Source organism: Homo sapiens, chromosome 6, assembly GCF_000001405.40.
Source record: "Homo sapiens chromosome 6, GRCh38.p14 Primary Assembly".
Classification (NCBI taxonomy): Eukaryota; Metazoa; Chordata; class Mammalia; order Primates; family Hominidae; genus Homo; species Homo sapiens.
This window is the reverse complement of record NC_000006.12, coordinates 42,282,779-42,309,298: the sequence shown is the minus strand read 5'-3', so window position 1 is coordinate 42,309,298 and position 26,520 is coordinate 42,282,779. Positions and strand designations below refer to the sequence as shown.

Here is a 26,520-nt window from a genome sequence, read left to right as displayed (position 1 = left end):
GCAGTGTGATTCTGAGATAGTGCATTTAAAAACACCAAACCCAGTGCCTGGCAGATACTTGGCACTCAGTAGGTAAATAGTATCAGTCATTATGGATTCATCCAAAGTAAAGGCATTGTTTACACAAATCGACCCTGCCTTTTAGGCTGTGTTTGGGGACCACCCCTCTCAGAGTCACCCAGGTTGTTCTTTTAAAAAATAGGTCCCTGGGCCCAGCGCAGACCTAATGAGTTAAAGTCTCTAATGGTAGGGCCCAGGAAGCTTCTTTTAAAAAAAGAAAAAATATATATTAGGTAAAATTCACCAACATAAAATTAACCATCGGTCATTTTTTTTTTCACGTAAAAAATGTTTAACTTTTATTTTACATTCGGGGATGCATGTGAAGGTTTGTTACAGAGGTAAACTTATGTCATGGGAGTTTGTTATACAGATTATTTCATCACCCAGGAATTAAGCCCAGTACCCAGTTGTAATCTTTTCTGCTCCTCTCCCTCCTCCTGCCCTCCCCCCTCAAGTAGACCTCAGTGTCTGTTGTTTCCTTCTTTGTGTTCATAAGTTCTCATCATTTAGCTCCCACTTATAAGTAAGAACATGGGATATTTGGTTTTCTGTTCCTGCGTTAGCTTGCTGAGGACAGTGGCCTCCAGCTCCACCCATGTTCCTGCAAAAGACACGATCTCGTTCTTCTTTATGGCTGCACGGCCATTTTAAAGTATACAAGTCATTGGCGTTTCCTGCATTTACAATGTTGTGCAACCTCACCTAGGTCTAGTTCCAAGGCATTTTTGTCATCCCAGAAGGAAACCCTGTACCCACTCACCATTCTGCCCTCCCCAGCCCCTTGCAACCACTAACCTGCTTTCTGCTTCCATGCCTTGGCCTATTCTGGATGTTCCAGATAAAAGGAACCGTACACTATGTGACCTTTTGTGTTTGACGTCTTTCACTTAACACCCTGTTTTCGAGGTTCATCCATGTTGTTGCATGTATTAGTGTTTATTTCCTTTTTATTGGTGAATAATATTCCATTGTATGAATATAACACATTTGTTTATCCACTCATCAGTTGATGGACATTTGGGTTCTTTCCACCTTTTCAGCTCTGTGAATAATGTTTCTAGGAACATTTGTGTGCAAGTTTCTGTTGGAGTACCCATTTTCGGTGATGTGGGGTATATACCTAGAAGCAGAATTCCTGGGTCACATGGTAATGCAATGTTTAAATGTGTTGAGAAACCAGCTGAACTGCCCTCCACAGTGGCTACACCATTTTCCATCCCTACTGGGAATGCATAGGGTGCCAGTGTCTCCACTTCCAGGTCAACACTTGTGATTTTGTGTTTTTGGTTGTGGCCAACCTGGTGGGTGTGAAGGGAAGCTTCATTCTTCACAAGTTCCCAGGATGGTTCGTGTAGACCTGAAAGTTGGAGAACCACCACTTTGATGAGAGCTCCTCTTTCAGTGAGTTCAGTCAGAGTCTACTGTTCCCAGGTTCTGGGACTCCCTGCAGCAGTGCCTTTGTTGGGCTGGGGAAGCCCATCAGGGAATTGGAATTGTTACTTCGTGTGCTGTTGTAATAGCGATCGGATCTTTTTTTTTTTTTTTTCATACATTTACCTCTCCCCTTTAGTAAGCACAACTGAGTAGAAAGGAACAGTTTGCCATTGACTTGTCCTGGGAAAGCCAGATCAGCACAGATGACCCACCCCCTGGTGTCCCCTGGGTGAGTTTCTGCAAAGCTCCTCTACTTGTCCATCTGAGGCTGGCCTGGAGGGCCCGTTCCAATATGAAATAGCCTTGAACTCTCCTGTTTTAATAAAATTTAATGTGGAATTTTGTATTCTACTGTGTAATATAGAGCTGGGCCTGTTTTAATTAAAAATTAAAGGATTTTACTCCAAATATTTAAGTGTATTTCAGAAACACATCAAGTTAATCCTGTGGCCCTTAGGATGAACGTGATAAACCTGAATAAAGGGACAGAGGAGTGTGAGGGGAGGAGGCCGTGTGGGGAGCACTTAATGAAAGGAATAGTATTCCTCTTTAACAATGAGGGTTTTGTTTTCTTCTTCTGGAATTTCCTCAAAATTAATCTCTAGGGTGGAACACAACATTTAGGTGATACATTGTATATGCAAGCAAAGGGAGCAAGGTCCTACTATTAATATAACTGCCTGCACTGCTTCAGAATTGTTCTAGGACATAAGCCAAGGTCCTCTTCTTCAAGTCGGCGGTCTCAGCCTTGGCCACATATCACAACCACCTGGCGAGCTTTACACGCTCTTGTTTAACAGGGTGTTCAACAAGAGCCCAGGTGAAACCCAGGCATCCCTGGTTTCTAAAGCTCCAGGTGATTCTGATGTGTAATCAGGATTGACTGCTGTGCCAGGCCATTAGACACAGCGGTGAAAAAAACGGACATAGCCCATGCCCTGATAGAGCTTACAGTCTGACTGGGGAGACCAACTCGTTAATCACATAATTGATTAATTACAACTGTGATAAATGCTGTTGCCCAGTTAAATTTCAGAGGGATGGAGACATCTTCCCAAAGCTATAGCCTGACAGATGAGTAGATGCTAATGAGAGGAGAGCTGGGAAAAGGGCATCCCAGGCAGAGGGACTGGCATGTGCAAAGGCCCTGGGGTAGAAAAGAGCTTGGTGTGTCTGAGGACTTGAAAGACAAGCTGGTTGGAGCTGTGAGCAAGGAGGGGTGGGCAGCCTGAGGCTGGGGAGCAGATGGTAGCCTGTCACCCATGTTAGCCTGTGGTGAGTCCACCTGACATGCTGTCAGTGTTTGAGCTGCTCTGATATTGGTGTGAAAGGCCCAAGCTTCTGTGCTCTGGAATGAGCAGATACACGAGGGCCTGATTAAGTGATCTGCCTATATCCCATCATGGTCTGGGCAGGATCCCCTTCCTCCAGTGCATGAAAATTATTCTTTACTCAGCCTCCATGGAGAGAGAGGAAGGGCATCAAAAGAAGGGGGAGATTGGCCGGGCGTGGTGGCTCACACCTGTAATCCCAGCACTTTGGGAGGCTGAGGCAAGTGGATCACTTGAGGTCAGGAGTTCCAGACCAGACTGGCCAATATGGCAAAACCTCCATTCTATTAAAAATACAAAAATTAGCTGGGCATGGTGGCGCATGCCTGTAATCCCAGCTACTCGAGAGGCTAGGGCAGGAGAATTGCTTGAACCTGGGAGACAGAGGTTGCAGTGAGCCGAGATCGCGCCACTGCACTCCAGCCTGGGAGACAGAGTAAGACTCTGTCTCAAAAAAAAAAAAAAAAAAAAAAAAGGAGAGATATTTGGAGAGAGAATGGGAGTTTTCCTCACGTCTGAAAAGTTTCTGGGCCTCACTTGAAAATTACATCTCCTTCTGGCATCTCCACATAGAACTCATTTGACAGAACTGTGGGTCCCTAGGTGACTGGAGCCTGGGATCTCATTGCAGTGATTCCTCTCTGCACTGTTTCTCAGATGCTCTGTAGAGCCTGTCTCACATTTAATTCCTCCCTCCTCTCCATTTTCCTGCATCCCCCTCCCCCTGTTCCTTTTTCTTCTTTTTAAAATCTGTGCCAATTTCTAATGAATTGTGGGTGGCATGGAGGGAATTCTTCACACTTCATTTGGTCCTGCTTCATAGTTTATATCCTGTGTCCCTCCCTTCCCCTGGCTGAACCCCCCGTCCTCGGTCTGGTAGATGTGAGCTGTTCTTTTCCTTTCAACGGCCTTGTGGCTGCAGAGAACCCCTCTTTGATTTGGGCTTTTAGATACTCATTTAAAGTGCTTGTTCCTGTGTATTAATTTCTTCCTTCCCTAAGACTCCTAATCTTCACTCTCCCTTAACTCAGACAGCAGTGTGGCCTGTGAGGCGGCATTTGTCACCCCCATTGTATAGAAGGGAAACTGAGGTTCTGATAGCAGCGTGGGGCTGTGGGAAGATTCTGGCCTTGCTTGGTGGCATGGTGGATGTGACAGGTCCTTGGAAAGTCACACAACCCTCCAGGGCTGCCTCTTTACTGGTCATATGGGAAGGAGATAAGATTTCTACCCCTGTAAGGAGGCAGGGTGATGGGATAAAGAGGATGGGATTTGGCCCTTAAAGCTCTGGCTCAACCACTCAGTTCTGTGGCCTTGGGCAAGGCATCAGACCTCGGCTTCCTCACTTGTAGAATGGTGATCCCTACAGCACCTCAGCAGGATGGTTGTAAGTACTAGAGGCACTGTCTGGGAAGTCCTAGCAACGTGCCTGGTCTGAATGGGATATAGTAGCTGTTCTTTGGCCTTTGGGATATAGTAGCTGTTCACCTCCCCTGCCATCTGGGATTCGGCTGTTTGTCCAAGAGGACCCTAATCATTATGGTGGAGCTGGAATTAGAACTAGAATCCAGGTCTACTGGCTTCAGGCCCTCAGCTCCTGGGAGGAGCTATCTGTAAGCACCCTGGTTTTGTGAGCTGGATAATTCTTGCTGTGGGTAGGCCTTTCTGTACACGGTAGAATGGTAGTTCTCAACTGGGAGTGATTTTGCAAGAGACAGTTGGCAATGTCTGGAGAGTTTTTTCATTGTCTCGGCTTGGGAGGGTCTACTGACTTCTAAGGGGTAGGGGCCAGGTATCTGGATTGTTCTGGGATCTCTCAGCACAGTGGTTGGGGACCTTTGAAGGCACAGACCAAGAAATAGCAAGTCATCAGAACCCCTGGTCAGCAATAGCTGACTCTGAGCCTTGCAAAGCTGCCCTGCAGCGTCAGCACCGGCTGGGAAATCCTTGTGGATTCTTGTGGATATTCACATAGAGGGAGGGGCATGATTATCCCCACTCACTGGGTATAGTGCTAGCAACAGCTGCCACTTATCCAGGGCCTATTAGGAGCAGGGGCAGCGTGCTCAGTGAGGGACCTACGCTCTCACTGATCTGCCTGTTCAGCAAGGAAGACACTGCTAAGTAACCTCATTTCACAGAAGTGGGACAAGGCCATACGGCTAGTGAGGGGCAGAGCCTAGGTCTCCTTAGCTCCAGAGCTCACATGCTATGCATGAAATTGCATGACCTTTCTTAGAAAGTAACACCCCCGTGAGGCTTCTCCAGCAATCATTTTAATAGAATGCTTATCCACATCCCTGTGTCAGCACTGGCCACCTAATTTTGCCACTGGCCAAACTGAATTTACCACTGTTGCAGAAAACAAGTAGGTAAGAATCTTAAAACTTATCATACATTGGGAGGGAGGGCAAGGGTGCCCCTATTTTGGATGTCTCATGCCAGTTTGGGAAGAGGGAGAATTTAGCAGTTAGGCACAATATGTTCCTAATTTGCCCTAGAAAACTTCTTGGGTGCTTTTGGAAAAACCTGTACATCTTCTTTTTTTTTTTTTTTTTTTTTTTTTATGAGACAGTGTCTCCCTCTGTCACCCAGGCTGGAGTGCAGTGGTGCGATCTCTGCTCACTGCAGCCTTCACCTCCCAGATTCAAGTGATCCTCTCAAGTAGCTGGGACTACAAACACAAACCACCACACCTGGCTAATTTTTGTATTTTTTTGTAGAGATGGGGTTTCACCATGTTGCCCAGGTTTTGTCTCAAACTCCTGGGCTCAAGCGATCCACCCACCTCTGCCTCCCAAAATGCTGGGATTACAGGTGGGACCCACTGTGCGCAGCCAAACCTGTACATCTTTAATGCCTGTCTTGAATACCACAGTGATTGGAGCACAGTGTGAGGTTAAGAAACAGTGCAGTCCTGATTAAGAGCCTTCTCTCCTAATTAGAGTATGCCATGCTCCATCCTGTCACAGGACCTTTGCACAGGCTACTCGGTGTACCAGCAGCACCCTTGCTCTCTATCTTTCCCCTGCTGCCCTCCCTACTTTGCTTCAGTAATTTATTCTTAGGGCTCATATTAAAGACTAATTCCTTAGGAAAGCATTTCTGCCCCATGTCCATGCTAGTCCATCTTCTGGCATATGCTATTATGCATTAGCTATGTTTCTTTAGGGGACCACTATTATAGTTATCTCTAATTTGTTAATGTTGGTTTCCTTCTTGCACTTGATTGTAAGCTCCATGAAGGTAGGGAACACACTGGTCTCACTCAGCTGTTGTATGCCAAGTGCCTTGCATTTGCCTAGTACATACTAGGCACCAGCCAACATTGGATGGGTGAATGGATGGTTAGATGAATGGATTGAACTAGTTAATTTCATTTCCTTTCCCTTAACTCCAGCCAATAATCTCTTCTTAGGGAATTGTAATTATCTGTTTATATGGTTCTCTTGAGCCTCTTTGAAGAAGAACCTGTCTTTAGAAGCCCTGAGTCTAGCTCCATGCCTGACTTACAATAGATGGCTAATAAAAGTTGGCCATATGTTGTCTAAGACAAACTCTTGCCCATAAGACAAGCAGTTCCAAGAGCTCACGCCTCTGCAGAGAGGACCCTAGAAAGTTGTTTTCATACATAGAGGGTTAGGATGGTGAATTTATTCACAGAAACGGAATGAAGTGCATTCCTGCTTCCCACCCGTGCCATGCTTAGCTCCTTGGTAAGGTCTGCTATTCAGGTTGCCAGTTACTGTACTGACTTATTTGTACATAAACAGTTATTCCCCATAACCTTCCCTTTGCCAACATTCAGAGATAATGATACACAATCTTTGTAACATTACAGATGTTGCTTCAAAAACACTCTGTTGCTATAGGAATGTTTGTGATGTGCTTATCGCTAGAATTTCATGAGCAACAAACTCCAAAATTGCAGATGATTTAACATTTGAAGCAGGGAGTTGAGAGTGTATGTGTGTTTGCATTTAAAAAAACAAAACAAACAAGGCTTTGAAAAAGGAAGTTTTCTTCTGCAGAGTTATCTTCTTCTAAAGCTTAAAATAAGAACTACTTAAAAGCAGCGAATTTAGAAGAATGAGCACTTTCTCTTAAACATTCAAATGGGTGAAAATGACTTGTAATGCCTCCCTCAAGTATTAAGGAAATAGGCAGTTAAAGGTTTTTTTTGGAGCTAGCTGTCACAGACAAAGGATTTCTCATTTAAAAAAAAATCATTTTATAGCATTAAATAGTAGGAATGCATACCAGCAGCCCTTTTGGCATCTTGAAAATGATTTATTTTCTGAAATGTCCCAGTGCATTTTAATAGATGACTCTTTGTTCTTCTCATTCAGGGAGGGAGCTTCAGGCGGGGTTGCCATAGTTAGGGTTGGGAAGTTCAGGGTGGAGGCAGACAGGGCTCCAGGAACAGCTTTCCATGAGCCTCACACTTTGTTACCTGAACACAGCAGGTGGGTGCCACCACCTATCTCCAAACAGCATGGAGCCACACTTTCCCAAAGCTCCTGCTGTGGTTCTCCTTCCCAAAGAGAGACTCTCTGAACTAACTTTTTATAGTCCAGAGAGTGAATTTGAAATCATTTTTCTTTCTAGCCTCCCTCTCTGAACATATCAGCTAGACATCTTAGGAAAGGTGTGCAATGTGGAAGTCTCTACTATAGCAATGCTGCTACTCAGCTGTGGCTCAGGAGTGGTGCTCTCTGCAAACTCTTTAGCGGTCCATGAGATAAGTTCAGAAATTGAGTCGGTGCTTAGTAACTTTCATGCCGATTTGACAGAATAATCTGTTGAATCAAAGAACTTAAAAGTGAGCTTGCACTTTGTATCAGTATCTTTTCATTTCCTTTTTCTAGCAGTTCATTTTTACTATATTTTATTAAAGTAGTCATCTCTAATGGTGTGGAAAATTTTTTAAAAACTGGTCCTTCGGCTGGGCACGGTGGCCCACGCCTGTAGTCCCAGCACTTTGGGAGGCCGAGGCGGGCAGATCATGAGGTCAGGAGTGCAAGACCAGCCTGGCCAACATGGTGAAACCCCGTCTCTACTAAAAATACAAAAATTAGCCAGGTGTGGTGGTGGGCACCTATAATCCCAGCTACTTGGGAGGCTGAGGCAGGAGAATTGCTTGAACCTGGGAGGCAGAAGTTGCAGTGAGCCAAGATCACACCATTGCACTCCAGCCTGGGCAACAGAGTGAGACTCTGTCTCAGAAAAAAACAAAACAAAACAAAACAAAACAAAACAACTGGTTCTTCATGACAAATAACTTGAGAAGCTGTATGCCAAGGCACCTGTAAGCTGCTGTAGCTCCCCCATGAGGAAAGTCAGCTGTTGAATGGATTTGGGGAATCACAGCACTTAGCAAATGATATTATAATGAAACTCAGATCTCTCTCTGTCTCTCTATATCTCTCTGTGTCTGTCTGTCTGTCTGTCTGTCTCTCTCTCTCTCTCTGTTTCCTAAGTGTAGAGACTGCATCCAGTTCATCTCCATGGCCTCATTCCTCAGTGCCCTGCCTGGCACATTGCAGGCCTTTGGAAATGTTTGTTGAATGCATGCCTGTCTGCTTCCTCATTACCTAAGAGTAGGTGAGGACAGCCTCGGGAATTTCCCTGGGATTTCTGGTAGTGTCTTCTGCAGGATGGTGATGAAGAGCTAGGAGCAAATGATGAGGAAATGACCTTTCCTTTTTCTTTTCCCCACAGGACCAGGCCTCCTCTTCCCACCTGTCCAGCAGCATGAAAGCAGCATGATTGGCCGACCGCAGGAGAAGCCCCCAGAACCAGGCCCCCAACTCAGCCATCTGCGGAGGTCAAGGTGAGCTTGCTTTCCTTCTTCTGGAAGGCTGAGGAATTTTCATTTTCATTTTAACACTTTCTGTATGCATTTGTAATCCCTTGCTATGTGCTAGAAGAATGAGGTTTCCTGGGATGAGGGTAGACTTAGAAAGTGCATGTCACTTTACAGATTAAAGTGTGCTCATTTTGGTTAAAGGAGAGGCTGATATGGAGCAGAAAGGACTGAGTTGAGTGTCTAGAATGGAGCTCTTATTATTCTTCCACCACCTCCTGAATCTGGGACCTTGGACAGGTCTTACAGGATGGGGTATCCAGGGAATTTTGAATGAAAAAATCTCTGAGACAGGATAGAATGGGAAAGATTACTCAGTCCACGACCTGAGAGTCCCAGTACCTGCTAGACAGACTTCTGTCCCACACAGAGTCATAAGGGGCCTTAGATGATCAGTCAGGCCAGTTTCCAGCCAGTGTTGGACAGTTAGTTGTTAGTTCTGTCTGCTGGTCTCTGCTCTGCCATTAGGAACCACAAAGACTTGGCTTTCAAAGACTCTTCCACATGCCTCTCTCACTGGGTTTGAAGATTTGAAGATTTGGCTGTCATGACTCCGTCTTTCTTTTTTTGGTATAAATTCTCCCTAGAGACTGGTGCCAGTCACCTTGTCCTCTCGTCCCCTCTGTGTTGGAAAGGGCTTTAGTTACCTCCAGCGTCTGCCTTGCTGGTTGCTCATGCAACCTGCACCATCTTCAGTAGAGAATCATTCATTCACCATTCGTTCTTCAGTGGCTATTTACAGCCTCCTTTGTGACAGGCACTGTGCTAGACTCTGGAGATATATCAATGAAGAAGAAAGACAGGGTCTCTGTCTTTTAAGACAAAATAGGTTTAGATCCTTAGAGTTTGAAATATGCATTGAACTACTTCCGTGGGCTCCTTTTTTACATTTTTATCTCTGCAACTTTTTTTCTTAAATGTCCCATAAGTGCTTCAAAAAACATCTTTAAATATTGGATATAGTTTTCTATATATCATCATTGAAAGATAAGTTAGCTTATTGTGCAGCTCAAATCATCTATAATATGTTCTTTTCTGATTTTGTCTGATTATCTATCAATTATTGAGAGAGGTGTGTTAAAGCCTCCCACTGGATTTGTCAGTTGCTCCTTGCAATGCTGAAATTGTTGCTTTATATGTTTTGAGGCAATACTGTTTGGTGCATAGATGTTTAGAACTGGTGTATTTTATTGATGAATTGGGATTTATTTCTACCATCTTTACATGCATTTAATTTTTTCTGCTCTTTCTTTTAGGTTGAGGTATTTTCCCCCCTCATTTCATTTTCCATCTTCTTATTTGTAACTTGCATACTCTATGTCTGTTATTTCTGGGGTTACCCAGCTAGCTACCTGGATAGATGATAGATAGATAGATAGATAGATAGATAGATAGATAGATAGAAAAAAACAGACTCTATGTGTGTTTTTTCAGGGGTTATCCAGCTAGCTAGATATATATATATATGTAGATAGATAGATAGATAGAGACAGACAGACAGACAGACAGATAGATAGATAGATATTTTTAGAGACAGGGTCTTGCTCTCTTGCCCAGGCTAGCTTCAAACTCCTGGGCTCAAATGATACTCTCACCTCCTCCTCCCGAGGAGCTACCTTAGCTTTTTTTGTTTGTTTGTTTTTTGTTTTGTTTCGTTTTGTTTTTGAGACGGAATCTCTCTCTGTTTCCCAGTCTGAAGTACAGTGACACAATCTTGGCTCCCTGCAACCTGCACCTCCTGGGCTCAAGCAGTTCTCCTGCCTGAGTCTCCTGAGTAGCTGGGACTACAGGCGTCTGCTACCACGCCTGGCTAATTTTTGTATTTTTAGTAGAGATGGGATTTCACCATGTTGGCCAGGCTGGTCTCAAATTCCTGACCTCAGGTGATCCACCCGTCTCGGCCTCCCAAAGTGCTGGGATTACAGGCATGAGCCACCGTGCCCCACCAATTTTTGTATTTTAAGTAGAAACAGGGTTTTACCCTGTTGGCCAGGCTGGTCTCGAACTCCTGACCTCCAGTGATCCACCCACTTCAGCCTCCCAAAGTGCTGGCATTACAGGCGTGAGCCACCACCCTCAACCTATTTTACGTTTTCATCTCTTTGTCTCTCTGTGCTGAACTCTGAATAATTTATTCAAATCTATCTTCTGGCCGGGGGAATAGCTCATACCTGTAATCCCAGCACTTTGGGAGGCCTTGGTGGGTGGATCACCTGAAGTCAGAAGTTCAAGACCAGCCTGGCCAACATGGTGAAACCCCATCTCTACTAAAAATAAAAAAATTGGCCAGGTGTGGTGGCGCGCACCTATAATCCCAGCTACTCTGGAGGCTGAGGCACAAGAATCACTTGAACCCTGGAGGTGGAGGTTGCTGTGAGTTGAGACCATACCACTGCACTCCAGCCTGGGTGACAGAGCCAGACTTTGTCTCAAAAAAAACAAAAACAAAAACAAAAACAAAAAAAAACAACAACTATCTTCTATTTAACTAATTTATTATGTGTCTAAAATGCTCTTTAACCCATTCATTGGATTTTTTCTTTTTGCTTTATTTATTTGTCATTTCTAGAAGTTCTGCTTGGTGATTTTTCTGGTCTCTCATTTCTTGCTCATATTTGAAGATGTTTATTTCTTTAAAATATTAAATTTGCTATTTAGAAATTTTATAATTTTGTGTCTTGTAATTCCCAAATCTGAAGTTCTTGCAGGTCTGGTTCTGCCACTTGTTGTTTCTGCTGGCTGGTATTCATAATGCCTTGTTTCCTGTGAATTGCTCATTTTTTCTTGGCACTTTATCTTAGGGAATTATCTGAGGTGTGGGTTGAGTTGTCTTTTCCAGAGAGGATTTGGTTAACTTCTGCTGGTTGTCTGGTGGGCATTACCAACAAAAATCACTTTAAATTAATTTTCTAGTTAAGGCTTTTCTGGCTACCCAAGTAATATAATTCAGGCTACAAACCTGTGTGAAGTCCAGCTATGGTTACACATTTTCAGCAGAGAGATTTTCCCCCCATTCTGCTCAGCCCTTGCAAGGTCCAGTTTTCTTGCAGTCTCTGTGTTGTGCATTTACTTCTCATTCACCAAGTCGAATGAATTTTGTGGAGTGGAGCCATTTGAAGTCCCAACTTTGTGGAGGGGTCTCCCTAGGCTCTTAACCCTGTGCTGCTGTCATTGGGAAACTTAGAATCTCCAGGTTTCAGCAGAAACCCTCAGGGCAAAAGCCAGCTTTGATGCCAGCTCACCTTCCAAGGTTCCTGCTTTGGGTTTGTTTTGGTCTTTTCATTTGTACTATCTCAGCAATGTGTATTCAGTCTTTATATCTAAAATTGTATCCAGCATATTAGTTCTTTCCATTAGGAGGGGCAAGTAAGGTATCCGGTCTGCCATATTGCCAAAAGTATATCTTTTTCTTCTCCACAATAGTCAGGAGGGCAGGAATTTCTATTTCTTCACAGAAGAGTGACCTGAAGCTCAGAGAGGGTGTAGCCATAGGCCTAGCAGGTGAAAGGCTGGGAGAGAATATGTCCCTCTCCTCTCCTCTCTCCCCACGATAACTGTTGACCATTGGCAAGGACAAACTTTAGTCCCACAAAGAATATGAGTTGCTACCAAAATGTTTTAACTAGCTGAACAGCTTTGTACAATTTGTTTATGAATCTATTGTTTATCTTCCTTGAGGGAGGAAATGGCTTCTCCATATTTTGTGGCTTGTTTGTCTGGCAGTCACCAGCAGCCCTCCTGCTTCATTCCCATTCTGCAAAAAGTCTCCTGAACCTGAAGCCAGATCCCGTGGGCTTCTCATCCAGACCTTGGCTTCCTTTCCTCCTTATGCTACTCTCTCCTTCTCACCTTCTTCCCTTCCCTCTGCCTCTTTTTCCTTTTCCCCTCTCCCCATCCTTCCTGCGATTGGTTTTTCTTTTTCATGGTGGCGTGCCTTTCATTGGAGGGGAGTCTACAGAGCACAGTGGTTTGGCTTTTGGGCTTTGAGGGGCAGGGAGAAAGAGCTGAGTTTGAACCTACCTCTGCCACTTAACAGCTGAATCTCTCTGAGCTTCCGTTTCTTCATTGGTCACATGGGGACAGTGGATAGAGCTATTCAAGGACTTAATGAAATGATGCCTGTAGAGCTTGTAACACAGAGCTTGGATATCATCAGTGCTTGGTCAGTGGTGGTTCATATAACTATGACTGAGAACAGACCACTTCAAGGCCAGTGTTCTTGTTGGTGATGCTTTTAAATTGACAAAGCCAGTTTATAAAATGAGATTAAAATGGAGGCAGAAATCTAATGTAAATGTGGGAATCCCAGCCTCTTTATGATGTTCTTTGAACTGGGGTGTTTTTAAAAATAATCTGAGGGAAGATAGAACGCACTGGTCTGGCCAGTGTTTGTGGAAGATGTAAACCAGGGGTTCTGAAAATGGGGCCTAGACCTCCACACTCCATATCTTGGCCCTCCCGCTGAGCTGTGCCCTGTGTCCTGGTGCCGTGGTGGGGCTGGGGCTGCGTGGACTCACTGTGGAGGTTTCCCTTGCAGGGCCCCCAGATCAAGGGATGGCATTACTGCTCTGAGGACACATTTTCAGCAGTGATGGGGCTGGGGGAGAAGGGTCGTGAATGTCCTTTAGCTCTATTCTTATAGCTGGCATGAGACTTCACTTTTCACGCCCTCTTGTAATAAATGGCTTTATATTACACCTAGACATGTGTCGTTTCCTGATTTGATATCTATCAGGCAACAAGTCTTTTTTTCAAAGCCTGCTATTTATAGTGACTCTGGGCTTTGTATAGTGGGCAAGTACTATAAAAGAATGCATAAAGTTGCTGTGAATCTAAAACTACTCTAAAATTAAAGTCTATTCATCACAAGAGGACTTTGTAACCAAAAAAAATGCATAAAGTCTAAAACATCTTCATAAGATTGTTAGGTACTCAGAGTGGATATCCAAGAGGGAAAAACACGATGCCCTTCAATGGTCAGGGAGGGCTTCCTGGATGAGGCTGGATGATGATTTGAGCTGGTCTTATGGGGCAGCCAAGGTGAGGCTGCTGGAGAAGGAGCCTCATGCATCCTGGGTGTAGAAGTGGTAGGAACTGGGGTTTAGAAAGCCCCACAGATGGCCTTTGTGGTCCCTCTTGGAGCACCATCTCCCATTATCAAAAGCCCTCAGAAGTCCTGCGGCTAACATTTGACACCAGATTTCCCAAGTGTGTTTGACCACTCATAGCTGATGAACATGGAGGTCTTGAATGGGTTTCCACATGGCTTCTGTCTCTCTGACTAATGCTTCAGCTCATCTGGGCTACCACCTCACTTCTGTAAAACAGGGATTGGCAACTTTAAAAGTTCAGCCTCTTGGGAGCACCAAAAAATTATTTGAAGTTCACCTCTTATCTTTTTCCAGGCATTGCTCAAATATTTAGAAGGGTGAAGGTTTCTAGGGGGACTAAGCAGGGACATTGTTAGAGTTAGGGAGGGGGCTTCTTTGTTATCCCAGTCTCCCAAGATGATTGGACATTTCCAGCCCAGCCGAGTGGCCAAGCCTGTTTGCATGGAGTTAAATGCCCAGCCCCACCCCACCCCTTGTTCCCACCAGCAAACCTCAAAGTCTATTAACAGCCTCTGTCCTGATCATGATTCATCCTTCCTGCCCCTTCTGTATTCTGGTTACTCAGAGCCGTGAGCCAAGGTTGATTACTAATGCCATCCAACTGACCTTGCCCATGGAGAGCTTACCTGGTAGATTAAACATTCTTCATCAGATGACACCTCAGGTTGGGTTCTGTTTGTCAGCTAGCTCTGTACATTGCAACAATGGATTGTCCTAGATGCAGACGGAGACCCTTTTCAGGACCAGGAAGTCAGGGGACACATTATCTGAGGAGTTTGGGGTGCCAGGGTTATTGCGGGTATAGAGACAGGAGGTGCCCCAGGCCAAGAGCTCCTGTGCTTAAAGAGCCACATAAAAGTGGTGGAAATATGCTCTACATCAAATCTTCACGTGCTGCCCTGGAGATTGGCCGTTGGCTCCTTCTCACCATTGGTGGAACCTTTCTAAAAACATTTCATTATATTATTATACCAGTCATAGCCATTATTCTATTTTTTTTAATTGCAACATTAAGGCCGGGCGCGGTGGCTCATGCCTGTAATCCTAGCACTTTGGGAGGCTGAGGCGAGCGGATCATGAGACCGGGAGTTCGAGACCAGCCTGGCCAATATGGTGAAACCCTGTCTCTACTAAAATACAAAAAAAAATTAGCCGGGCGTGGTGGCGCACGCCTGTAATCCCAGCTACTCAGGAAGCTGAGGCAGAATTGCTTGAACCCAGGAAGCGGAGGTTGCAGTGAGCTGAGATTGCACCACTGCACTCCAGCCCAGGAGACAGAGCGAGACTCCGTCTCAAAAAAAAAAAAAAAAAAATTACATTATAGCTAGAGCTACCCCTACTTCTTACCCCTAATTCCTACCCCTACTCACTCTCTTCTCTTTTCCAAAAGATGGCAGAACTGAGACTGCAATCCAGACATCCTGACTTCTAGCATTGTTTCCCCAAAGGGCTCAGATCCTTAGGGATCAGGTGTCATTGGTGGGAAACCCTAGTATCTCAATATCCTGATATCCTGGCCCAAGATTGTTCAGTGTCCTGGGACAGGCCAGGCAGGGTCTCAGGGGATTCGTCCAACAGAGGCTTGGAGCTCCTCAGGTCCAACTTTATTCTGCAGAAGGTGAGTCTGAGGTGCAAGGAGGGGAAGTCATTTGCCCAACCAGGTCACAGGGCACATCTCTCTTTCTGTTTGGTCCGGGTTATCTTTATATTGGGTTTGCATTTCCTGAATACACAGCAACAGGGTGGGGGGTGGGTGGAGGACAGGGGAAGTGGGCTTAAAAGAACCCCATCTGAAAATGTTTAGATTTCCTGTGACTGTCCCGTGAAGAGGGAGATAATCTGTGTTCACGGAACTAAGAGGAGAGGGAGAGACTTGGTTCAGGTCCAGGAGGCCAAGAGTGGAGAGAAAAAGGAGGACAACATGAGAGCTATTCAGAGAAAGCTGTGACATTTTTATGGATGAAATAGAAACAAATAGGAGTTTGTTTCTTTGCACTTCAGTGATGTCTTCTTGTTTGTATTTTTGGACAACACTCAAGCCATGTGGAGGCTCTGGCCTCGTTCTAGTAGCAGTGGTTTGTGGTCTTTGGAGGCTCTTTGGCCTGGGACCGGGCGCCTTTGGTTCTCATCTCCCTTGAGTTGGCTTCTACCAGGATGTGTGATCCTTTGGAACTCTCTCTTCCTCCCTCGGAGCTTCCATAGCTTATCTCAAGGTGGAAATAAAACCTCCTGCTGGGCCTGCCTCACAGAGAAATAATGGGTATGAGAGTGTCCCCCACAAACTGTCAGGGTTAGATTGGCCTCGTTTTTTCTTTTTCCACGTCTGTGAGGCTGGCATGAGCTCTGAGGGAGTCAGGAGCTTCCACCAGGGAAGGCCCATGTGCCCATCAGATCAGGTGGCACATGTGGCCACAGAGGCCACTCCAGACCCGATTTCCTGGGACAGCCCTTCCAGGCAGTGTGTCCCCAGTTCCTTAAAGGGGGATGTCATTTAAGCAGGAAAGGCTGTAACTAAAAGTAAGGAAATGGTATATACGGACAGAGTTACTACCAATTTTCTGGAATTGGAGAGCTGGGTACCCTCTTGAAACAGAAAACGAAGTAGAATATCACTTTATCTGGTATCATAGAGGAACTGAAATGACTCCAGCTAACAGGGCCCACCCCTTCTAACTTTTTTAGGTGGTGATACCAGGTAAAGTGATATTCTACTGGATACAATTAAGCTTTAGATTGCCACTAAATAATTGCGTCTCATTTCCTCTTCGGGGGTCTTGAACTGCTTGAGAGCCATATCCCAGAAAGTAGAAAACCACCTTCGTTACCAGTAACACCAAATTAGAGAACTCAGCCTGACCCGTGGCCACACCAATTCCCTCTTTTGCACCCCTTGAATTGCACTGACCAGTGTAGACTTGTAGGCCTCTCTCTCTCGGACTTCCTGCAAGGATGAGCCAGTCATGTGCATGTTTGCATTCTGTTTCCTGCTGTCAGTGAACAATTCTACTGAACGAACTATGGCCTTTCCTTGATGTCTCTGGATCATCATTGTGGATAAAATGAATGTGCCCTGGACACAGGTGCTTTCAGGGGATGTTAGAGTAAGCAAGGTCATTGGTCCCTATCCCAAAGGGCCCAGGCTGCCCTTCTCTCTTCCCTCCTGCGTCCACTCCTGGCAATTTCTGCCCCTGAGCAACATTCTGCTGATTGAAACAAAAGGAGGGCTGAAGGTTGTCCAGGAAACAAATAACCAAACCAACTCAATCATGCCTGAGTCATTGAGCCTGGTCTAAACTGTAACCCACGTCAAAACAAAACAACAGAAACCCCACCCCAGGCAATGAGACTGCTCGAGTCCTCCCTGGGAGCACATGTGTCCTGTACCTTCTCTTGTTTAATCTTCTCAGAAACCCAGAACAGTAGGTATTATTATTACTGTTTTACAGATGTCAAAATTGAGGCTCAAAAGCGAAGTTAGATAGGCCTGCTGGAGGGACTCACTATGCCAGTGGAACGTTGAGATTTGAACCCCAATCTTTGACTCCAGAAGCAGTGCTCTTGGTGTTTCCATGAGGAAAATATTTGTCATCTAATCCATTTGTTTCTCTCCAATGAGATATTCCTGATGAGTAAAAACTTGTCCAGACAGGGCCGGGCGCAGTGTCTTATGCCTGTAATCCCAGCACTTTGGGAGGCCGAGGCGGGTGGATCATGAGGTCAGGAGATCGAGACCATCCTGGCTAACATGGTGAAACCCCGTCTCTACTAAAAAATACACACACAAAAAAAAAAAACAGCCGGGCGTGGTGGCAGGCGCCTGTAGTCCCAGCTACTTGGGAGGCTGAGGCAGGAGAATGGCGTGAACCCAGGAGGCAGAGCTTGCAGTGAGCCGAGATTGTGCCACTGCACTCCAGCCTGGGTGACAGAGCGAAACTCCATCTCAAAAACAAACAAACAAACAACAAAAACGAAACAAAACAAAACAAAAAACTTGTCCAGATAACTGGAGCTTTTAAGCCTAGAACCTTTTTTTTTTTTTTTTAGTGTAAAGTGCATCAGCTTCTTTTTCACACTTCCAAGTTCATGGCTAAACACTAGAGCGTTGAAGTTTGCTAGGAGCTGACAGCCAGATTCATGGGACGTGCCTGTACTACGGCATAGACTTTCTCTCCTTGGCCCTTCAAAAACCAGTGATAAAAGCTGGAAGGATCCTGCAAGGAGGAAGTAGCTTCATGCTGAACAGATCTGCAATGGGAGGACAAGAGGCACCGCAGAGTATCAGAGGGTTGGGGGCTTAGCCCTTCATCACCAATCATGCAACCTTGGGAAGTTCATCCCCTGCATGTTAATTTCCTCCTTTCAAACAGAGAAGACAGTTCTGACCTCATAGGTTTGTTGTGACCTCACAGAACAAAATAGTATATGTCCATTCTTTTTGCAATATTTTCAAGAATGTTATTATGAAATATTTTCTAGAATGTTATTATTGGCCATGAGGACATGCACACCCTTTCACGAATTCTTTGGTGTCCTTCTCAGCGACTTTACACCGGGCCAGAGGGTTCGTGACTGTGGCCCAGGGAGACTGGTCTCCAAGCCGGGAGCTCCACTGATGTCAAGCAAACACACCATGTGGTCACTGGAGCAGGCCACCCCACATCCCAGCACTGATTTCCCCATCCCAGGGCTGTTAAAGAGATGCAATTATGAGCTTTTTACTCTTCTGTTCAAAAAAAAAAAAAAAAAAAAAAAGGAAAGAAATGGAAAAAAGGATAAATTAATTTTCTCTAACCTGTGGCTTTTTTTTTCCTTCTTCTCTCCTTGCTGTGAGATTGCCACTTAACTTTTTTTTAATTAAAAAAAATGATGTTCTGGGTGATGGGACATAATATTTAGACATGTTGAGCTGACAGTTGATGAGTGTGTTGTCAATACACCATCACCACAAATCATGTTCCCAGGGTTGATCAGAAGGAGATTTGTGTGCAAATGCATGTGTGTGCTCACACACTTGGATGATTTAGAGTGATTTAGAGCAACTTCTCAAAAGCAGTTGCTGGGGAGGGCTGGCCACAGGCGAGGGGCAGCTGACTAGGGCAAGAGGAAGAAATCGGCTTCTGTTGTGAATTGAGGTGATTGGCTCTGAGTTTACTGTGGAAGCAAAAGTCGCGACGTCCTCCCTCCCTCCCTGCCTTCCTCTGTCATGTTCTTAGCACCCAGTGGGTGCCAGGTATTCTGCTGACCATGAGGCACTCCTTAGAAGCAGTCCTAGTTTGATGGAGGAGACAAAAGAAACAGTTTGAAGCGGTGTGCTGACTGGTGTGAGGAAGACATGACCCCTGAGCGCTGGGCCCATGTTCACCGGCGTGCTGGCCGCCCTTCTTCATGTTCTTGCCTTCAGTGACTGCCTGTTCTCAGGGGCCTCACAAACCTCTCTGGGCCTTGGAACCTCGGTCCAGCTGCCACGGTGACAGCTCCTGTTGAGGTCTCCATGTGAAACAGCTCTCCCAGTGCTCCACGCTTCATAGATGTGAACCTGACATCTAGGTCACATCTGACTCCTCCTCCTGTACCCCCATAAGTCCCTTCTATCATTAATCCTGTCAGGTTCACCCCAAAACACCCCTCCGTCACCCTCATCCAAGCTATCTGGCCTGGACCATGGCAAACCTAAGTTGCCCCATGTCCTCATTCACCTTCCTCCAGTCCATTGTCTGCACTGGGGGTCAGCAAACTACAGTCCAGGGGCCAAATCTAGCCACTGCCTGTCGATTTCACACAGTCCTTGAGCTGCTTTTACAGATGAGCATTTGATGATATGGGAACACTGACTTTCCTTCTCTTTGAAGGGGAAGTGTTCTCTCTCCAAAAAACAATCCTATTCTTCTCATTAGATGATCAGTATTACAAAAATTTACACTCACTCAATTATCATTATATTTTCAGTGTTCTCAAAAATGTGTAGAATTTTCTTTCTTATTATGTAAGTCCTACATAATAGCCTGTATTTGCCTCTTGGCAGCAAAGCCCGGAATATGTATCATCTGGCCTTGAACAGAAGAACTTAGCTCACCCTTGATCTACACTGTGGCCAGAGCAAGGTTTTTTTGTTGTTGCTGGGTTGTGTTTTTTTTTGTTTTTTTTTTGTTTGTTTGTTTTTTTTGAGACAGAGTCTCACTCTGTCACCCAGGCTGGGCTGGAGCGCAGTGGCATGATAACGGCTCACTGCAGTCTCCGCCTCCTGGGTTCAAGCAATTCTTGTGCCTCAGCCTCCTGAGTAGCTGGAATTACAGGTATGTGCCACCACACCCAGCTCATTTTTTTGTATTTTTAGTAGAGATGGGGTTTCACCATGTTGGCCAGGTTGATCTTGAACTCTCGACCTCAAATGATCCACCTGCCTTGGCCTCCCAAAGTGCTGGGATTACAGGCATGAGCCACCACACCCGGCCCAGAGCAAACTTTCAAAATAGAAATATGATCAGTTACATGTGCTTTGACACACACACACACACACACACACACACACACACACACACAGAGTTCAAGATACTTTAATGGTTTCCCCTGCTCTTCAGGGGAGCCATTAAGATGAGGATCCTTAGCCTCAAGAGGCTTGGATGGTCTTGCCCTTGCCCCCTGTCCAGTTTCATCACTGTGTTCCTTTTTCCTCCATTTCAGCCACACTGGCCTTCTTTTAGTTCTTTACATCCACCTTGTTCCCACCTGCCACAGAGCCTTTGCCCATCTGTCCTTGACGCTATCTGGAATACAGTTTTCTGCACCCTATTTCCCCTCCCTATGTCCTTCTCATCTTTAGATCACAGCATCACTGTGACTTTCTCAGAGGATCCTTCCCTGACTTTTCTGCCAAGGTCACAACCCCGTCTCTCTCTCTTTTTTTTTTTTTTTTTTTTTTGGTTTTGAGATGGAGTTTCGCTCTTGTTGCCCAGGCTGGAGTGCAATGGAGCCATCTTGGCTCACGGCAACCTCCACCTCCTGGATTCAAGCGATTCTCCTGCCTCAGCCTCCCGAGTAGCTGAGATTACAGGCAAGTGCCAGCACGCCCGGCTAATGATGTATTTTTAGTAGAGATGGGGTTTCACCATGTTGGCCAGGCTGGTCTCAAACTCCTGACCTCAGGTGACCTGCCCACCTCGGCCTCCCAAAGTGCTGGGATTACAGGAGTAAGCCACGGTGCCCGGCCCTCGGCCCTATCTTATAGCTCCTCATGACAGGTGTAAAATTATACTTGTCTCTGGCTGACATGCACACACCCAGACTGCAAGCCCTATATAACTGACACTGTCTCTGTTCCCACCTCCATTACATCTACTGTACCTGGTATAGAGTGAGCATGCAATAAATGTTTTGTTATGATGAGTGGCTGAGGATCAGGGAAGGGAAGACTTCGTGAAAGACATTAGGTTTGAACAGGAACTTGTAGGCTGAGAAGGTGGAGAATGGGAAAAAGAGCTGTCAAGCAGAAGGACCAGCATTATGGAAACTTTGTGTGGCTTCATAGGACAGGTGCTCAGGGTGTATCTGAGTGGGTGGGGAAATCACTGGAAGGGTGAATGAGACCAGATTGTGAGGGCTTTCTGTGCCCAGCTGAGCTGTTTGGACACTTACCTGTTGGCAGAGGGAGCATTGGAGGTTTTAAGGAGAGGGTGGTGTGTCAGGGCTGGAGGGGGTGAGACCCGACCAGAGGAGCATGGATTAGGCAATGAGAGAAGATGGCCAGGGAAAGGCTGTGCAGGAGAAGTGGGCAGGAATTGATCATCTCTTGGAAGTGAGTGGGAATGGGGAGGTGGTGGGCCCCTGGGGTCCCAGTTTCTGATTCAGGATCCTGGGTAAAGGGTCTCCAGTTGTTTCAGTTAAGTGAAGAGAAAGGAGTTAGGGCAGGGGGGACGTGTGAAAGTTTGTTTGGCGGGAGGAGGTGGAGAGAGCAAAGGCCGGTAGCCCCCATTCTCTGTGAAGCAGGGGTCAGGGTCGTCTGCTGAGACAGAGGCCTTTCGGCTTCAGATCATGGACTTGGGCCTCTTCCTCCTTTAGGAGCAGAGGGTTTCCACATCGTCTCTAAACAGTCGAGGGATTCGCCTCAGCCTGGGGCACTGGGAGCCAACTGAGGATTTAATCCCAGACACTTTAGGAGATCTTACAGACCTGCCCTTCCCCATCCTTTTCTTTTTTTTTTTTTTATTATACTTTAAGTTTTAGGGTACATGTGCACATTGTGCAGGTTAGTTACATATGTGTACATGTGCCATGCTGGTGCGCTGCACCCACTAACTCGTCATCTAGCATTAGGTATATCTCCCGATGCTATCCCTCCCCCCTCCCCCCACCCCACAACAGTCCCCAGAGTGTGATATTCCCCTTCCTGTGTCCATGTGATCTCATTGTTCAATTCCCACCTATGAGTGAGAATATGCGGCGTTTGTTTTTTTGTTCTTGCGATAGTTTACTGAGAATGATGATTTCCAATTTCATCCATGTCCCTACAAAGGACATGAACTCATCATTTTTTATGGCTGCATAGTATTCCATGGTGTATATGTGCCACATTTTCTTAATCCAGTCTATCATTGTTGGACATTTGGGTTGGTTCCAAGTCTTTGCTATTGTGAATAATGCCGCAATAAACATACGTGTGCATGTGTCTTTATAGCAGCATGATTTATAGTCCTTTGGGTATATACCCAGTAATGGGATTGCTGGGTCAAATGGTATTTCCAGTTCTAGATCCCTGAGGAATCGCCACACTGACTTCCACAATGGTTGAACTAGTTTACAGTCCCACCAACAGTGTAAAAGTGTTCCTATTTCTCCACATCCTCTCCAGCACCTGTTGTTTCCTGACTTTTTAATGATTGCCATTCTAACTGGTGTGAGATGGTATCTCATTGTGGTTTTGATTTGCATTTCTCTGATGGCCAGTGATGATGAGCGTTTTTTCATGTGTTTTTTGGCTGCATAAATGTCTTCTTTTGAGAAGTGTCTGTTCATGTCCTTCGCCCACTTTTTGATGGGGTTGTTTGTTTTTTTCTTGTAAATTTGTTTGAGTTCATTGTAGATTCTGGATATTAGCCCTTTGTCAGATGAGTAGGTTGCAAGAATTTTCTCCCATTTTGTGTGTTGCCTGTTCACTCTGATGGTAGTTTCTTTTGCTGTGCAGAAGCTCTTTAGTTTAATTAGATCCCATTTGTCAATTTTGGCTTTGGTTGTCATTGCTTTTGGTGTTTTAGACATGAAGTCCTTGCCCATGCCTATGTCCTCAATGGTAATGCCTAGGTTTTCTTCTAGGGTTTTTATGGTTTTAGGTCTAACGTTTAAGTCTTTAATCCATCTTGAATTGATTTTTGTATAAGGTGTAAGGAAGGGATCCAGTTTCAGCTTTCTACATATGGCTAGCCAGTTTTCCCAGCACCATTTATTAAATAGGGAATCCTTTTAATTGCTTGTTTTTCTCAGGTTTGTCAAAGATCAGATAGTTGTAGATATGCGGCGTTATTTCTGAGGGCTCTGTTCTGTTCCATTGATCTATATCTCTGTTTTGGTACCAGTACCATGCTGTTTTGGTTACTGTAGCCTTGTAGTATAGTTTGAAGTCAGGTAATGTGATGCCTCCAGCTTTGTTCTTTTGGCTTAGGATTGACTTGGCGATGCGGGCTCTTTTTTGGTTCCATATGAACTTTAAAGTAGTTTTTTCCAATTCTGTGAAGAAAGTCATTGGTAGCTTGATGGGGATGATTTATCTCAATAGATGCAGAAAAAGCCTTTGACAAAATTCAACAACCCTTCATGCTAAAAACTCTCAATAAATTAGGTATTGATGGGACGTATTTCAAAATAATAAGAGCTATCTATGACAAACCCACAGCCAATATCATACTGAATGGGCAAAAACTGGAAGCATTCCCTTTGAAAACTGGCACAAGACAGGGATGCCCTCTCTCACCACTCCTATTCAACATAGTGTTGGAAGTTCTGACCAGGGCAATTAGGCAGGAGAAGGAAATAAAGAGTATTCAATTAGGAAAAGAGGAAGTCAAATTGTCCCTGTTTGCAGACGACATGATTGTATATCTAGAAAACCCCATTGTCTCAGCCCAAAAACTCCTTAAGCTGATAAGCAACTTCAGCAAAGTCTCAGGATACAAAATCAATGTACAAAAATCACAAGCATTCTTATACACCAACAACAGACAAACAGAGAGCCAAATCATGAGTGAACTCCCATTCAGAATTGCTTCAAAGAGAATAAAATACCTAGGAATCCAACTTACAAGGGATGTGAAGGACCTCTTCAAGGAGAACTACAAACCACTGCTCAAGGAAATAAAAGAGGATACAAACAAATGGAAGAACATTTCATGCTCATGGGTAGGAAGAACTCAATATCGTGAAAATGGCCATACTGCTCAAGGTAATTTACAGATTCAACCCCATCCCTTTCTTAAACCGTGAAGTCTAAATGTCAGCTTTGTCAGAAATCTTACCTTGAGGACCTTTGAAAAAAAAAAGGTCTGCTTACTTCAGAAAATGTTTTCAGAGTGCCTGCCCCATGACAGCTTGGCTCTGAGCACCACAGGGACCCCAGCGCTCTGCCTGAGGAGCATGTGCCTGACCTGTACACACTTACCTGACATTTGAATGCATGAAACACAATGTCAGACGGCATAGTTCAGAGACATCTAGCATGCTCCTCATGTTAAAGTTAGCAAGTCACACTCACACGCAGGTGGAACTGTCTTTAACCAGCCTCTACATAACTGAGTGGCAGCTGGCCTTCTCCACAACTTGCCCTAAACAGAGCACCCACTCCCACAAATGTAGTCACGGGCTGTGTTGGTCCTCAAACCTGCTTATGCCAGTTGTCCTTGTTATTGTAATTATGTAAATTAGTTAAATGTGATCTAAGCCAATGAACTATGAATGCAAAAAAGAAAGAGAAGTGCTATTTCAGTGAAAAGTAAGAGTCACCTTGTTCTACCTCAGCTGAGAATGTGTGACAGGCGACACATTTTTCACTGTTGAATGCTTTGGAAAGAAGTGATAAAAGCAAGCCACCAAAAGAGAATTGCTGCCAAATTAGGTGTGAGCAAGACAACTATTAAAGACTGGCACTGTGGTGCCGTGGCTCACGCCTGTGATCCCAACACTTTGGGAGGCCAAGGCATGAGGATTGCTTGAGGCCAGGAGTTCAAGACCAGCCTGGGAAACAGCGACACCCTGTCTCTACAAAAAAAAAAAAAAAAATTAAAAATTATAAAGATTGACACTAGAGGGAGAAGAAAATAAAAGCGTGTCAGAGGATGCTGCACTACAATTCCTTTACCAGGATTCTCTACTTCTGGCTCCTTTTTAAAGAAACCAAACTGAAAAAGTATAGATTATGCATCATCAGTGGTTTATGCACAAATGATAAATACAGAGCTCTATTCCACAGATCTATGAGCAAAGAAAAGTTCTGGACCCTGCCTCAAAAGACCAGTAAGATATTTGTGTTTTAAGTTAAAATAAATTCATAAGGCATTAATGTACTGCAATTAAGTGCACATAAAGGTTTTTTTTGGCCAGGGTGCAGTGGCTCACACCTGTAATCCCAGCACTTTGGGAGGTCGAGGCGGGCAGATTGCCTGAGGTTGGGAGTTCGAGACCAGCCTGACCAACATGGAGAAACCCCGTCTCTACTAAAAATACAAAATTAGCCAGGCACGGTGGCGCATGCCTGTAATCCCAGCTACTCGGGAGGCTGAGGCAGGAGACTCACTTGAACCCGGGAGGTGGAGGTTGTGGTGAGCCGAGATCGTGCCATGGCACTCCAGCCTAGGCAACAAGAGCAAAACTCCATCTCAAAAAAAAAAAAAAAAAAAAAAGTTTTTTTCATATGTTATTCTATCTGGGTTTTTTTTGTAAGTAATGTATTCACATGGTTCAAAAACACAGAAAAATATAAAAAGTTATAAAATGAAAAATCTCCCTCCTGCTCTTTTCCCCAATTAGCCCAGTTTCTACCACCTCCCTGCAGACAACTATTATTAGTTTCTTGGATCCTTCCAGATTTTCTTTATGAATATATATCAATTATAAATACATAGTTGACCCTTATTATTCACAGATTCCATATTTGCAAATTCCCTACTCTCTAAACTTATTTGTAACCACAAAACCGATGCTCAGTGCTTTCTTGGTCATTTGAGGACAGGCACAGAGCAGTGAAAATTTTGAGTCGCCCGATGCATGTTCCCAAGCTGAGGTTAAACAAGGCAACTCCACCTTCTTATTTCAGCTCTCCTGCTGGACACAAGTGTGCTTTTTTGGTGTATTTAGTATGGCATTTTTCATATTTTTGTTGTTTTTGTTGTTGATTTCACTGTTTGAAATGGCCTCCAAGTGTAATGCTAAAGTGTTGCCTACTGTTCTCAGCACGAGAAGGCTGTGATGTATGTGCCTTACAGAGAAAATGGGTGAATTAGATAAGCTCCTTTCAGGCATTAGTTGTAGTACTGTTGGCTGTGAGGTCAATGTTAATGAATGAAAAAAATAGATGTTAAATAAGATATCCTTTAAGCAGACACATATAAAACAAGGTTATATACTGATCAGTTGACAAAAATGTTGCAACCAGGGGCTTGCAGGAACCTAACCCTGTATTTCTCTTAGGAGCAGTGGCTCAGTATTCACTAATTCAGTGATCATAGAGACTTTA

General features: G+C 44.7%; 1 protein-coding gene across 52 annotated transcripts in view; it reads left to right on the top strand.

Annotated features, from left to right (window-relative positions):
• Nucleotides 1-26,520, top strand: part of TRERF1 (transcriptional regulating factor 1) — a 227,294-nt gene that overhangs the window by 142,926 nt on the left and 57,848 nt on the right. For all 52 annotated transcript variants that reach the window (XM_047419067.1, XM_047419061.1, XM_047419048.1 and 49 more), the window contains one exon: nucleotides 8,550-8,661. The gene's annotated coding sequence lies outside the window, so the exon portion shown is untranslated. The remainder of the gene's footprint in view (nucleotides 1-8,549; nucleotides 8,662-26,520) is intronic.